Raw genomic sequence first — 16,152 nt, forward strand, 5'->3', positions numbered from 1 at the left:
CACTTTAAAACTTTGCATGTAACTGTACATTTTAATTACAAGGTTTTTAACATCCATTTTCTCATGTATTCTTAATTAACTCTGTGAAAGTAAACACAGCTTTTATTCTTACTCCCATAGTTACTGTGTTGGAAGTCCACCTATATGAACAAACTGTTGTAACTGAAATTTTCTGAGAACAAATCCCAAGCTCTTTCCATCGACACAAACTATATTGTTTAGTTCTCTTTATTTCCATTTGTTAAAGACCAGAATGTGTGAAATATGCATTATCAGATTAGAAAAACAAAACAAACATCAGAAAAAGGTTTTGCAAAATAGCATTTACTAAAATCTATGACAGAAACTAGCTCTAAAACTTCCTGTTTCAAAATTTCACTGTGTGTGCACTAAGTTAGTTTTTCTGGCTGTGGACAGCAGGCCCACCCCATGCCGCGGGCCCACCCCATGCCGCAGGCCCACCCCACGCCGCGGGCCCACCCCACGCCACAGGCCCACCCCACGCCACAGACCCACCATGGCCCCATGAACAGGCCAGCTGAGAGCTGCAGCCACTGCCCAGGGCTCCCTGGTCTGTACTCGGCTGCCTGACCCAAGCTGCCAGGGCTCTGCTTTCTCTATGTGTAGAAACAAAAACCAGGAGCATCAGTTGACGAAAAGCAGATTTTTATTGAACAGAGGTATAAATGTGTTTCATTTTCTAATAAATCTCTTTCACAAATCACCTTGCTGTTTCGCTCTTCTTGAATGATCATTTTTAGACAACACTGTCTGACTGTTTTGGCTTCTGCCAAGGTTAGCGTCTGTTCACAGGCTGAGTCTGACTTCTTCCTCCCACCTCCTCCTAGTCTGGCCTTCCAAAATAATGCTCACCATTCTATCACATTGACTTCAGTTTTGAAAAGAAAAGTTATCTTACAAAGTAGTATGTATAACTCTGTAATATATAAAGTGAGGCAATGATAGAACCAGTTTTAAAAATAACCTTCCATGATGATTTTCATTTGCATCCACCTGCTTATTAGTAAGAATCTTTTTACATGTTTACTGCACGCCCCAATTTCTCTTCAGTGAAAAACTTTTGAGTATCATCACACCCTCCAACTTCTCCTCTCACCTATATTGAAAAGGGTCTGCTCTTTATCCTAACATCTATACTAGGTAATTTTCAGAATATTCCTTCAATCATCAAACAAATTTTTGAGATCCTTGCGCTAGATTTCACTATCTTAATATGAAAACCAATAATCACCTATTAAAATACAATACAGGCCAGGCACAGTGGCTAACACCTGTAATCCCAACATTTTGAGAGGCCAAGGCAGGTGGGTCACCTGACGTCAGGAATTTGAGACCAGCCTGACCAATATGGTAAAACCCCATCTCTACTAAAAATACAAAAATCAGCCAGGTGTGGTTGCAGACGCCTGTAGTCCCAGCTACTCGGGAGGCTGAGGCAGGAGAATAGCTTGAACCCAGGAGGCGGGGGTTGCAGTGAGCCAAGATCGTGACACTGCACTCCAGCCTGGACGATAGAGCAAGACTCCATCTCAAAAAAAAAAAAAACAAAAAAAAAACACCATTAATAAGTAAATAAATAGGCCAGGCGTGGTGGCTAATGCCTGTAATCCCAACATTTTGGGAGGCCAAAGTGGATGGACCACCTGAGGTCGGGAGTTCAAGACCGGCCTGACCAACATGAAGAAACCCTGTCTCTAACAAAACTACAAAATTAGTGGGGCATGGTGGCGCATGCCTGTAATCCCAGCTGCTCGAGAGGCTGAGGCAGAGGAATTACTTGAACCTGGGAGGCGGAGGTTGCAGTGAGTCAAGATCGCACCACTGCACTCCGGCCTGGGCAACAAGAGCGAAACTCTGTCTCAAAAAACAAAAAAGTAAATAAATAAAACACAATACAATACAGCTAATATGATTTACCTAAGAAGCTGTTGTATGAGCTGAACCAGAGGCAAACACTGTTTGCCAGAAGACTCACAGATCCCCGTATTAATAAGGCCTTTATCCAATGGAGTCCTCCTTCTATGAAATGTTGAGGCATTTGCTTCCTGTTCATAAATTTCTTTTTCCTTCCGTGCTTCTTTTTTTGTATCCTGTAATTGATAAACAGAAATTGTTTACAAGTGATCTCATTACCAGGTGTGAAGGCACACAGGCTGGCTGAGCCCTGACCCCAGTGCCAAGCTATCCCAGCCTCTGTGGCTGCCACACCCATCCACCCACAGGCCCCCACCTGCCCTGTTGGAAACCCCAACTCATTTGTGCAGTTTCAAACAGTGTCTTCTTTTTACAGATCCAAGGTCTAGGCTGCCTCTGCTGATGCTCTCCAGCCTCCTTCTGTGAAGTCCCTAAAATCCTTAACCCTGCTAATGGCTCACACAAAACCCAATGTGATCGGCTCCACACACGCAGCATCCAGCTGCTCTGTAAGGACAAGAAGGAGCTAGAATTCTCACACACAAGTCCTGGTTCAAATGCAAATGGCAAAGCCACTTTGGGAAACTATGAACACACACTAACCCCAGGACCTAACAAATTCCACTCCAAGTGTTTATCCAAAGGGAGAACATATGTTCACTAAAGTACTTGTTCACAGCACAATTGTGGCAGCTCTACACGGCCAAAAACCAGAAAGCCTGGGCGCGGTGGCTCACGCTTGTAATCCCAACACTTTGGGAGGCCAAGGTGGGGGGATCACTGGAGCCCAGGAGTTGAAGACCAGCCTTGCAACACAGTGAAACCTTGTCTCTACAAAAAAATCAAAAAACTAGCCGGGCATGGTGACATGTATGTGGTCCCTGCAACACAGGAGGCTGAGGTGGGAGGATCATTTGAGCCTAGGAGTACAAGGCTGCAGTGAGCCAACATCAGGTCACTGTATACAGCCTGGGTGACAGAGCAAGACCCTGTCTCAAAAAAAAAAAAAAAAAGAAAACAAAAACCAAAAACAATTACATGTCCTTCAATAGGAGAATGAACTAACAAACAGTACTACACCTATAAAATGGAAAACTTCCCAATAATAAAAACGAAGTCGCAATACACACAACAGTGAGCGAATCTGAAAATCATTCTCCAAGGCAAAGCAGGAAAGAGTGCATACTATACAGTTATATTGCTGCGACACTCAGAGCAGGAAAAATGAATCTAATCTCAGGGCAGGGGAGTATCCTGGCTGCAAGTGCCAAGGAGCACAGCGATCTTTCCGGGTGACGGGAATGGTCTACATGAGGAACAGGTTACCTGTTAACTTCACTGAAACAGACAACATGCAGTATTTTATCACAAATCATCTCAATAATTTTTAAAATTAGCACATAAAAGAATTTTAATTTAAAAAAATACTTGGATATAAGTTTAGTGTTTTACTGTTTTCAGTTATTCTTCACATGTGTGAGTGTGGTATTTCCGATCTCAGCCCACCACCAGGTCACGTGTGCCTCCAAGGCCATACCTGGATCTCTGCAGTAATGGCTGCGTGTAAGGCTGACTCCAACCCTCCATCAGCCATCAAGCTGCCCACCAGAAGATCAATCACCAATCGATGACCTGGACTTATGCTCACTTCATTGCCTGAAACTGAAATAGAAAGTGTGTGCCAATTTGAGTGAAACGCCATCCCCTCCCAGCACCCTGACCCATGCCCTCTCCTGTTCCTTCCCCGAGCCCACCTCCGCAGGACAGGAGAGCAGAGTGCCCGGGCCTGCTTCTCAGCGGTGGGCAACAGCATGGACCAGCCGCTCTGCAGCATGGCCTGGGAGGCCGACTGCACGGTGCTCAGCACGTCTGCGCTGCTTGCCAGGGTCACCACCTTCTGCTTCAGGCTGTTCAGGAAGACGCTGCCCAGACCTAAACCAAGGAATTCCAGGTCAACCTGGTGACTAATGGCAGCATGCAACTGAAAGGAGAAAAACAATTTTCACTTAGAACCCCTAAAAATGAGTGAATTTCAAAGTCTTATTAAACACTGAATAAAAGTCAATTTGAAGTATTATCTAAATAGACAAAATAACTTCTCAGTTTACGTATTTTTAAAAACTGGACTAAAAAAACTCTTACCCACAATAGTTGAAGTATTTTCTAGAGGAATTTTTTTTAACCCCACTATGAACACATATATGGAAAAGCTCAAGATGAGCAGAAGAGCTAAACAACTAGCAACAGCAACCTCCACCCCGCCCCAACAATCTGCACCAAACACAGAAATAATGGCTACAATGTAACCACAAAAGCTGCCACAGGCGGTGGCTCATGCCTGTCATCCCAGCACTTTGGGAGGCCGACGGGAAAGCTCACTTGAGATCAGGAGTTCAAGATCAGCCTGGCCAACATGATGAAACCCCATCTCTATAAAAAAATCAGCCGGGTGTGATGGTACACACCTGTAGTCCCAGCTACTTGGGAGGCTGAGGCAGGAGAATCACTTGAACCTGGCAGGCCAAGACTGTACCACTGCATTCCAGCCTGGGTGACAAAGTGACACCCTGTCTAAAAAAAAAAAAAGAGCTGCTAAAAATTAGACTGCGGAGCTGAGAGTACACAGGGAAACTCCTCAAGTGCAAAACCAAAATTCACGTGGGCACACACAGCAGGAGTCAAGAGGTTCCGGGCTCTGAAAGCAGAGCCAAGCCGCCAGGCTTCAGCACAACCTCCCACACGGGAATGCACACAAGGACCCACTGAACCCGAGCTTCCTGCAGAAGGCTGGGAGCCACTCAGGATCACCTGCCTGCCAGCCAACCGCAGCCAGGGGGCAACACACTGCCCGTCCCAGGCTCTGGGTAGCAAGAGGCCCCATGAGAAATCAGAGACCCGGCCTTGCCCTGTGAGTAGAAGTGAAATCAAAAGCACACCACTCATCTAGGTATAGATATCACAGGTCAGGAAATGACCACCGAAACTCACCTGGAGTCTGTGAAACCTACAGAACCTTCAGGACCCCGGAGAGGCAAATGCAAAACCATACGCTGGGACACCTCGACAGCCTAAGACATACGCAAGGCCACGCCCCACAGCACTGACCAGAACAGACACATCACCGCAAACCAGGAGGGGCAGCAAACACCTGGGGCGCAACCACGCAAACGCCAGGATGCCACAGATATGGTGATAAATGAGTGCTACAGAGGACTAGAGGAGAAGCATGCTCCAGACCTCTGCTCAGTTCATTACTGCAACTAAACACTACACTCAGTTCTGTACATTCTAGAAGCAGGGCAAAAAGGGGAGGGGCTGGAAGAGGGACATGACGGGTTGTTACAAGAAACCACTGTAATAAAAGGGAAAAATTACTATGTCGAGAAAACCGTGGTTCTTGTCATTAAGTTAGAGGGTTTTATTACAAAGACAAAAGATGATGATCAAACACTTCAGCTTTAGTTTTGCTAGGGAGGAAGGCTTTTGTAGCTTTTATTTTGACCCTAACCACAGCCTTCATGGTGAGGAAAGGAAGGTATTGCTTTGGGAGCCGAGCTTACTGAGTAGATCAAGCTTGTTCAACCCACGGCCCGAGGGCAGCATGTGGCCCAGGGCAGCTTTGAATGTGGCCCAAAGTAAAATTTCTTAAAACATCATGAGATATTTTTGGGATTCTTTTTTTAAGCTCATCAGCTATCATAAGTGTATTTTATGTGTAGCCCAAGACAATTCTTCTTCCAGTGTGGCCCAGGGAAACCAAAAGACTGGACCCTCCTGGAGCAGGGTTTTCACAGGACAGAGGAGAGACAGGCCAGCACTGGTCTCTCAGCTGAGCGCTGTCTCTCTCCATCACCTGTGATCTCACCCAGTCATTTCTCCACACGCAACAACAGTAAAACAGTAAGAATACCAACAAACTAATGATTATAGCAAAAATAACACAATCCATATACACTCTTCCTGCATGCCGAGGCTGACTTCCAGGACAAACATAAAATAAACAGATCAAGTTTTTTAAGCCTTGCGTCCATTATTAGTGCATTACAATCTTACTTTAAAATACTTCCCCCAACAGGCTAAAACCTATGTCCTTCAAAATACATAAACCTTCTTACAAATCGCTAAGACACTTATAAAAGGAGCAAGAGGAAGGGAAATCACGAATACCTGAAGTCGGGGAAGATTCAGCGTTGCCACGGCCACGCACTCTTTCTCCTGGGGCGGGGGCCAGTCCGCGGAGCCATCCATCCCCTCACTCACCTGCCGAAGCAGGAGATCCAGCTGCTCAAAAGTCACTGAGCAAATATCCACCCCAAAAGGGACATGGAGGCCAATGGACCACTCAGAACACGATGACCAAGCAATGCTCTAAGAGGAAACGCAACAATCGGAAATGAATCTCCAAATGCAGCTCTTGGTCTGTCGCACAGGAGTCACCAGCTTGTGTGATGGAGCTGCCTTATATTATTACCTATCATCCCTCTAACTGCCCAGTGGAAAAGCATTCATGGGTGTCTAGCTCACACACTATCAGCTTCCAATTCTCCCACCCATTTCACTAGCCCCATCTCACTTGGCCATACCTAAAAGAGTAAAAACATTTTAAAAAATCTTTTCACTCTCAAAATGATTAATGCACATTAATGGATGGCAGGGAGGCTCTCCATCCACTTGAAGTGGTATAATAGCAACTCTAACTAGACAATGAATTGTTAGACACATATAACACACACAATATCTTTCATAGTGAGAGAACAAGTAATCGGCAAAAATCTAGGAGAACTGTAGAACACCTTCAATAAACTGGATCTAATTTATGGAACACTTCACCCAACAACAGCAAAATACATATACTTTTTTTTTTTTGAGACAGAGTCTCGCTCTGTCGCCCAGGCTAGAGTGCAGTGGCACGATCTCAGCCCACTGCAAGCTCTGCCTCCTGGGTTCACGCCATTCTCCTACCTCAGCCTCCTGAGTAGCTGGGACTACAGGTGCTCACCACCACGCCTGGCTAATTATTATTATTTTTTTAATTTTTATTTTTAGTAGAGATGGGGTTTCACCATGTCAGCCAGGATGGTCTTGATCTCCTGACCTCGTGATCCACCTGCCTTGGCCTCCCAAAGTGCTGGGATTACAGGCGTGAGCCACCGTGCCCGGCCATACATATACTTTACATATACTTTTTTTAAATTTTATTTTTTTGAGATGGAGTCTAGCTCTGTCGCCCAGGCTGGAGTGCAGTCGCATGATCTCAGTTCACTGCAAGCTCTGCTTCCCAGGCTCAAGCCAGTCTCCTGCCTCAGCCTCCCAAGTAGCTGGGACTACAGGCGCCCGCCATCATGCCCGGGTAATTTTTTTTGTATTTTTAGTAGAGACGGAGTTTCACCCTGTTAGCCAGGATGGTCTCGATCTCCTGACCTTGTGATCTGCCTGCCTCGGCCTCCCAAAGTGCTGGACCATACATATACTTTTTAAGCACATACAGACCATACATATACTTTTTACACATATATGTATACATATATGTATATACAGACCATACATATACAGACCATACATATACTTTTTAAGCACATACAGAATGTTCACTGAGAACATAACCTGACACATAAATCTTAACAAATTTAAAAGAAATGAAATCATATGCAGTTTGTTCTCCAATCACAATGGTATTAAACTAGAAATCATTAACAAAACAATCTGCAAACACTTCAAAATAAAACCACATACTTAATAATCCATGGGTCAGGCCGGGCGCACTGGCTCACGCGTGTAATCCCAACACTGTGGGAGGCCAAGTTGGGGGGATCACCTGAGGCCAGGAGTTGAAGATCAGCCTGGCCAACATGGAGAAACCCCATCTCTACTGAAAATACAAAACAATTAGCCGGGCATGGTGGCGGGTGCCCGTAGTCCCAGCTAATCAGGAGGCTGAGGCAGGAGAATCGCTTGAACCCAGGAGACAGAGGTTGCAGTGAGCCGAGATCATGTCATTGCACTCCAGCCTGGGCAACAACAGTGAAACTCCGTATTGAAGAAAAATAATAATAATAATAATAATCATCATCATCATCATCATCCATGGGTCAAAGAACAATTCTCCAAAGAAATGAGAAAATATTTTGAACATAAATGAAAATGCACCAAAATTTGTGGGTTTAATTAAAGCACTGCTTAGAGGAAAATTTATAGCATCAAATCATTATATATTACAAAAAAGATAGGTCTAAATCAGCAATCTAAGTTTCCACCTTAAGAAACCAGAAAAAGAGCAAAGTGAACGCAAAACAAGCCAAAGGAACAAATGCCAAGATAAAAGCAGAAACTAATGAGATTGAAAGCAAAAAAAGAAGGGAAAAATTAATGAAACTTAAAGATCATTCTTTGAAAAGATCAACAAAATTGAAAAACTCTAGGAAAACTGACAAAAAAACAGAAAAGATACAAATTATCAGTATCAGGAATGAATGAAGGGACATCACTGCAGGCCCCACAGACTTCAGACGGTTAGCAAGAGAACACTAAGGAAAACTTGACACTTAAAAATCAGACAACTTAGATGAAATAAAGCAATGTCCGAGTGCCACAAACCAGGAAAATCCTCCTAGAAACAAACAGGTTACCTGAATAGTTCTGTATCTGTTAAATAAATTGAATTTGTAAAAATTTTTTTTTTTTTTTTTGAGCCGGAGTCTCACTCTGTCACCCAGGCTGGAGTGCATTGGTGCAATCTCAGCTCTCTGCAATCTCTGCCTCCCAGGTTCAAGTGATTCTCCTGCCTTAGCCTCCTGAGTAGCTGGGATTACAGGCGCACGCCACCAAGCTTGACTAATTTTTTGTATTTTTAGTAGAAACGGGGTTTCACCATGTTAGCCAGGCTGGTCTCAAACTCCTGACCTCAGGTGATCCACCTGCCTCGGCCTCCCAACATGCTGGGATTATAGGCACGAGCCACCGCGCCCGGCGTAAAATCTTTTAGAAAGAAATCTCCAGGTTCAGATGGATTCAAAAACATTTAAAGAAGAAATAACACTAATTCTACACAATCCCTTAGAGAAAATGGAAAAGGAGGGAACACATGCCAATACTTTGTATAAGGTCAGCTTTCCCCTGACAGAAAGCCAGACGAGATAGTGTAATACAAAGAAAGAAAACTGCAAACCAACATCCCTGATGAGCATCAACAGAAAAATCCTCAAAAACGTGTTAGCAAGTCAAATTTAGCAATATAGAAACAGAATAGGGCCGGGCGCAGTGGCTCACGCCTGTAATCATAGGAATATTGGGATGCCAAGGAGGGTGGATCACTTGAGGTCAGGAGTTGGAGACCAGGCTGGCCAACATGGTGAAACCCCATCTCTACTAAAAACAAACAACAAACAAACAAAATTAGCCAGGTGTGGTGGTGCACACCTCTAATCCCAGCTACTCAGGAAGCTGAGGCAGGAGAATTGCTTGAACCCAGGAGGCAGAGGTTGCAGAGAGCTGAGATTGCACCAATGCACTCCAGCCTGGGTGACAGAGTGAGATTCTGTCTCAAAAAAAAAAAAAAAAAAAGAAAGAGAGTAGTAAATTGTGGCCAAGTGATGCCTATCCCAGTAACACAAGGCTTGGTCAGTATTTAAAAATCAGGCTGGTATAGTGTCTCACACCTGTAATCCCAGCACTTTGGGAGCTCACTGCAACCTCAAACTCTTAAGCTCAAGCAATCCTCCTGCCTCAGCCTCCTGAGTAGCTGAGACTACAGGTGCACACCAGCATGCCACGCTAATTTTTAATTTTTTTGTAGAGATGGGATCTCGCTGTGTTGCCCAAGCTGGTCTCTAACTCCTGGGCTCAAGTGACCCTCTTGCCTATGCCTCCCGAAGTGCTGGTGTGAGCTGTTGCACCCAGCCAAAATACGGCAGATTTGTAGTACCCCAGAAGGCTCCTTCCTGACCTACACTTTCCCACAAAGGAAACTACTCTTCTGACTTCAATCATCGTCAGTTCTGCCTTCCTGCGCTTCATCTAGGTGGGCTGGTACTGTGCACTGTCTCTCATACCTGGCTCCCTCTATTCACCCATGTCGTTGAGTGTTCCTACCACTTCATTTTTCTTTTTTGGCTGTGTAGTATTCCATGATGTGACTGTATCACCATTTATTCACTCTCCTGTTGATGGACATTTAGGTTGTTTTCATTTGGGGCTCTTATGAATAAAAATGGCAGTGAACATTCTTATATAAGTCTTTTTGTGGACATATGCACTCGTTTCTCTTGTGTACATGCTTAGGATGGAATTTCTGAAGGTAGGCATAGATATAGCTTTAGTGGAAGCTGCCAAACAGGTTTCCAATGTGCTTATACAATTTTATGCTACTGCCAGCTTGACAGTTCTTGTAGCTCTACATCTTTACCAATACTCTGTATAACACAGCATTTAACTTTAAATAGAGATAAAACGATGGTAAGATCCAAAGAAGTGCGCATGTTCCTGAAGAACATCCAGTAAAGGGCCTATTTTATTCATCTGTTTCGGGCACTGAAAACCACTGCATGGCCGGATGAGGAAGGAGGCCTGGTACAACTCCCAAGAAGGCATGTGTCCCTCGGGTGGGCTTTGTTTCCCAGAAACTCTGGGGAAGGGGTGGAGAGGCACCTTCTGGGCCAGCTGGTCTCCTCTGGCTTTTCTTGTACCCTAGGGCTCCCTCCAAAGAGACAGAGAACAGCCTGGCCGGGGAGCAGTATCTCCTACTGCGCTTGCTGTGAGCCAGCCACTCTGCCTTCTTTCAGGAATTACAAAATCCACAGGTCCCCGGCATCCTTATTTATGTATTTATTCATTTATGAGGCATGGTTTTCCTCAGCTCTGTTGGATGGGTCTCTGTGAAGGGAGCTTGGTGGGGGCGAGTGGCCCCTCCCTGGAGGAGGCAGGCCCCTGGTCAGGATCTTTGGGGCTCCAGATCTCATAAGTGGGGGGCCAGGCTCCCTAGAGAAACCCTTCTTGGCTAGGGCTGGGGAGCCCACCAGAGTGACCCAATCAGTTCTCAGGGCCTGTGATGGGGCCAAGTGGTTTTGAGAAGCCAGTGTTCAGCTCCATCCTAAAGAGCACTCATGCACGTTGAGGAGGAGGGCCGGGGTGCACAGCCCTGACCTGAGTCAGACCCACCTCAGGACTAAGCCCAGCAGGAGGCCCAGAGTCACTGACCATAAAACGAGCAGATGCCTCCCCCGTGCTGATGGAGATGAGTCTTGGGCATCAACTCTAATAATTTCTAACTGCACCCAGAAATACTGATTCACACAGCAACTAGTGAATAATAGCCTTTTAGAGCTAAAAAAGCCTCATATGATTTATTGTAAATTAACATATGCATTTTACACAAACTAGAGGCACCGTGGTGGGCCAGCAGCAGCCTGTTCAGGGGCCACAACAAGGGAGATTGGATTTCCTTAAGTGCAATGGGAGTTACTGGCAAGGCTTTAAGGTTTTAGCCACAGGAAAGATGAAAGTATTTTAGAGCAATGTGGGTGGATTCAAAGTGAGGTTTTGAACTAGATCAATTTTTTTTTTTTTTTAGACAGAGTCTGACTCTTATTGCCCAGGCTGGAGTGCAGTGGTGCTATCTTGGCTCACTGCAACCTCTGCCACCCAGGTTCAAGCAATTCTCCTGCCTCAGCCTCCTGAATAGCTGGGATTACAGGCACCTGCCACCAAGCCCGGCAAATTTTTGTATTTTTAGTAGAGACGGGGTTTCACCATCTTGGCCAGGCAGTTCTTGAACTCCTGACCTCGTGATCCACCTGCCTTGGCATCCCAAAGTATTAATTTTTTTTTTTTTTTTTGAGACGAAGTCTTGCTGTGTCGCCCAGGCTGGAGTGCAGTGGCCCGATGTCGGCTCACTGCAAGCTCCGCCTCCCAGGTTCACGCCAGTCTCCTGACTCAGCCTCCCGAGTAGCTGGGACTACAGGCGCCCGCCACGATGCCCAGCTAATTTTTTGTATTTTTTTTAGTAGAGATGGGGTTTCACCGTGTTAGCCAGGGTGGTCTCAATCTCCTGACTTCCTGATCTGTCCGCCTTGGCCTCCCAAAGTGCTGGGATTACAGGGGTAAGCCACCACGCCCCTCCAAGTATTAAATTTTTTATTTAAAAAATCTCCCCTCTCCAAAGATCTCCCAGCATTTCTGCAGAGGTCTCTACCTAGGTAAGGAGAAGAAACTATTCTTGGCCGGGTACAGTGGCTCACGCCTGTAATACCAGCACTTTGGAAAGCCAAGGTTGGAGGATTCCTTGATCCCAGAAGTTCGAGACCAGCCTGGCCAACATGGTGAAACCCCATCTTTACCAAAAATACAAAAATTAGGTGGGTGTGGTGGAGTGTGCCTGTAGTCCCAGCTACTCAGGAGGCTGAGGTAGAAGGATCGCTTGGGCCTGGGAGGTCAAGTCTGCAGTGAACCAAGGTGGTGCCACTGCACTCCAGCCTGGGTAACAGAGATCCTGTCTCAAAAAAAAAAAAATTATTTGTGAGGGTGAAATTTAAATACCTTTGTGCATAGCTATCAGTTATTCTTTGTTTTAATATTTAGTTTATTGTGAAATATAACACATATAGAAACATACATAAAACAACACACAGGGCCAGGCCCGGTGGGTCACGCCTTGTAATCCCAGCACTTTGGGAGGCCGAGGCGGGCGGATTACTTGAGGTGAGGAGTTTGAGACCAGCCTGGCCAACATGGTGAAACCCCATCTCTACTAAAAATACAAAAATTAGTCGGATGTGGTGGTGCATGCCTGTAATCCCAGCTACTTGGGAGGCTGAGGCAGGAGAATCGCTTGAACCAGGGAGGCAGAAGTTACAGTGAACCAAGATCGTGCTACTGCACTCCAGCCTGGGCAATAGAGTCAGACTGTGTCTAAAAAAAAAGAAAAAAAATATAGGCCGGGTGTGGTGGCTCACGCCTGTAATCCCAGCATTTTGGGAGGCCGAGGCGGGCAGATCACTTGAGGTCAGGAGTTCGAGACCAGCCTGACCAACATGGAGAAACCCCATCCCTACTAAAAGTACAAAATTAGCCGGGCATGGTGTTGCATGACTGAAATCCCAGCTACTTTGGAGGCTGAGGCAGGAGAATAGCTTGAATCTGGGAGGTAGAGGTTGTTTTGAGCTGAGATCACGCCATTGTACTCCAGCCTGGGCAACAAGAGCGAAACTCCGTCTCAAACAAACAAAAAACCAAACAAAAACAAAAAACACAGTGTAACATGTTATTATAAAGTCACTGCTCAGGGACCAACTTGGCCGCTCCTGTGCCTCTAGAGGGAAGCTCCTTCCCACTGTTCTTTAGAGTTTTATATGTTAAGTACAGGAGTCAACAAACTAGGCCTATGCACCACATCTGGCACCCAGCCTTTATTTATTTTTTGAGATGGCGTCTCACTCTGTCACCCTGGCTGCAGTGTGGTAGCACAATCTCAGCTCACTGCAACCTCCACCTCCCAGATTCAAGCAATTCTCCTGCCTCAGCCTCCTGAGTAGCTGGGATTACAGGTGTGTGCCACCACACCCGCCTAATTTTTATATTTTTGGTAGAGACGGGGTTTCACCATGTTGGTCTGGTCTCGAACTCCTGACGTCAGGTGATCCGCCTGCGTTGCCCTCTCAAAGTGCTGGGATTACAGGCATGAGGCATGATGCCTGACCCAGCCTTTTTTAAAATGAAGGTTTCGGCTGGCACGGTGGCTCATGTCTGTAGTCCCAGCATTTTGGGAGGCCAAGGCAGGTGGATCACCTGAGGTCAGTAGTTGGAGACCACCCTGGCCAACATGGTGAAACCCTGTCTGTACCAAAATACAAAAATTAGCTGGGCGTGATGGCAGGCACATGTAATGCCAGGTACTCGGGAGCCTGAGGCACGACAATCACTTGAACCTGGGAGGCGGAGGTTGCAGTGAGCCAAGATCACACGATTGCACTCCAGCCTGGGCAACGAGCGAAACTCCATCTCAAAATATAATAATAAAAAAAAGGATGTCCTTTTTTGTCTCTCAACCCCGTTTTTTATTTTTTTTTATTTTCAGACAGGGTCTCGCTCTGTTGCCCAGGGTGGAGTGCAGGGGCCCGATCTTAGCTCACTGTGGCCTCAACTTCCCCAGCTCACATGATCCTCCCACCTCAGCCTCCCAAATAGCTGGGACCACAGGTGGGTACCACCATGCCCGCCTAATTTTTGTATTTTTTGTAGAGATTGGATTATGCCATGTTGCTCAGGCTGATCTCGAACTTCTGGGCTCAAGTATCTCTCTGCCTCCACCTCCCAAAGTGCTGGGATTGCAGGCCTGAGCTACCATGCCCAGCCCTGCTTTAATTTAAAGTGTATTACATTTGATATTAGTACAGCCCCTTCAGCTCTTTTTTGGTTACTATTTTAATTGTATCTTTGTATCCCTTTACTTTCAATCTGTTTCTGTATTTAAAATGTTTATCTTGTAGATAGCACATTGGTGGATCATATTTTGTTCTTCAATCCTTTCAGCCAGTCTGCTTTTCTTTCTTTCTTTCTGAGACAGAGTTTTCCTTTTGTCACCCAGGCTGGAGCGCTATGGTGCGATCTCAGCTCACTGCAACCTCTGCCTCCTGGGTTCAAGCGATTCTCCAGCCTCAGCCTCCTGAGTAGCTGGGATTACAGGTGCGTGCCACCAGGCCTGACTAATTTTTGTATTTTTAGTAGAGACAGGGGTTTCTTCATGTCGGTCAGGCTGGTCTTGAACTCCTCACCTCAGGTGATCCACCGCCTCAGCCTCCCAAAGTGCAGGCATTACACGCGTAAACCACTGCGCCCGGCCAAAGTGGTGGATTTTTTTTCTCAGAAAATCTATTCCATTCTTTTTCCAGAAACCAAATTTGTACAAGTTAACTAAAATAAATATTTATACTCTAATTTTTTTGTTCTGAGGTCTTACTGAGTTTTTAGAATTTTATCTTTACATGTTTAGAAAAATTAGAAAATATAAATAGAACATAACCAAGAAAATAATAACAACTTTCCTTCTGTTCAAAGTTCATTACTATTAGCCGAGTGCAGTGACTCACACCTGTAATCCCAGCATTTTGGGAGACTGAGGCGGGCGGATCACTTGAGCCCAGGAGTTCGAGACCAGCCTGGGCAACATGGCAAAATCCCGTCTACAAAAACTACAAAAATTAGCCAGGTGTGGTTCCATGTGCCTGCAGTCCCAGCTAGTGGCAAGGCTGAGGTGGAGAACCACCTGAACCCGGTAAGTCAAGGCTGCAGTGGTGCAGCCTCTGACCCCCAGGCTGGAGTGCAGTGGTGCAATGTCGGCTCACTGCAACCTCCGCCTCCCGGGTTCAAGCGATTCTCCTGCCTCGGCCTCCCGAGTAGCTGGGATTACAGTCACGTGCCACCACACCTGGCTAATCTTTGTATTTTCAGTAGAGAAGGGGTCTCATCATGTTGGCCAGGCTGGTTTTGAACTCCTGACCTCAAATGATCCACCTGCTCTGGCCTCCCAAAGTGCTGGGATTACAGGCGTGAGCCACCACGCCCGGCCGTTATTTTTCTTTCTTAGAGGCAGGATCTCACTCTGTCGCCCAGGCTGGAGTGCAGTGGCACGATCTCAGCTCACTGTAGCATTGATCTCCCAGGCTCAGGCGATTCTCCTGTCTCAGCCTCCCGAGCAGCTGGGATCACAGGTGTGTGCCACCACACCTGGCTAATTGTTAAATTTTTTTATTTTTATTTTTTAGAGATGGGGTCTTGCTATGTTGCCCAGTCTGGCAACATGGGATCCTCCAACTCCTGGCTTCGAGGGATCCTCCCGCTTCGGCCTCCCAAAGCGCTGAGAATTACATACGTGAGCCACCATGCCCGGCCTATATTGTTTTATAGTTCTTCAATTTTGTTTTGTGGTCGCTGGAGGTGTTTCCTTCTTCGATTCCCTGCACAGTGCTTCCACAGCTGCTCCATGGAATCTGCCCAAGACTTTTGCTGCGTTCAGTTGAACACACAGGAGGAAGCTCTTCAGGCCCCAGCCAGCCGACCGCACAAAGATGCGTTCTCATACCCAGGGGAGCTGGTCTCGCCACTCGACCCGCGCCCTGGATAGCTATAGTTAGTGTGAGCGCCACCACCCGCCGCGGCGTGATCAAGAGCGCTCCGGGCCAAGCAGTCTCCCGTGGGAGTGCGGGAGTGCGTGCGTGCGGCGGAAAT

General features: G+C 46.2%; 1 pseudogene across 2 annotated transcripts, besides 1 other annotated feature; it reads right to left on the reverse strand.

Annotated features, from left to right (window-relative positions):
- Nucleotides 1-649: 649 nt before the first annotated feature.
- LOC102723534 (HECT and RLD domain containing E3 ubiquitin protein ligase 2 pseudogene) lies at nt 650-16,146 on the reverse strand (annotated as a pseudogene). Of its 2 annotated transcripts, none has more exons than NR_160688.1 (5): nt 15,797-16,146; nt 6,103-6,303; nt 3,690-3,867; nt 3,473-3,597; nt 650-2,111 (listed from the first exon to the last, which is right to left on the reverse strand). The product of NR_160688.1 is annotated as an HECT and RLD domain containing E3 ubiquitin protein ligase 2 pseudogene, transcript variant 2 (transcript). The 2 variants fall into 2 exon arrangements; NR_160687.1 differs by having other exon boundaries at nt 3,690-3,916.
- Nucleotides 4,392-4,892: an enhancer, noted in NCBI's record as "H3K4me1 hESC enhancer chr15:20722905-20723404 (GRCh37/hg19 assembly coordinates)". NCBI's record gives its function as "activates a minimal SCP1, AML or CMV promoter by ChIP-STARR-seq in naive H9 embryonic stem cells {active_cell/tissue: H9 hESC(naive)}" and the evidence as "EXISTENCE:reporter gene assay evidence [ECO:0000049][PMID:30033119]".
- Nucleotides 16,147-16,152: the final 6 nt, after the last annotated feature.

This window comes from Homo sapiens, chromosome 15 (genome assembly GCF_000001405.40).
Source record: "Homo sapiens chromosome 15, GRCh38.p14 Primary Assembly".
Classification (NCBI taxonomy): Eukaryota; Metazoa; Chordata; class Mammalia; order Primates; family Hominidae; genus Homo; species Homo sapiens.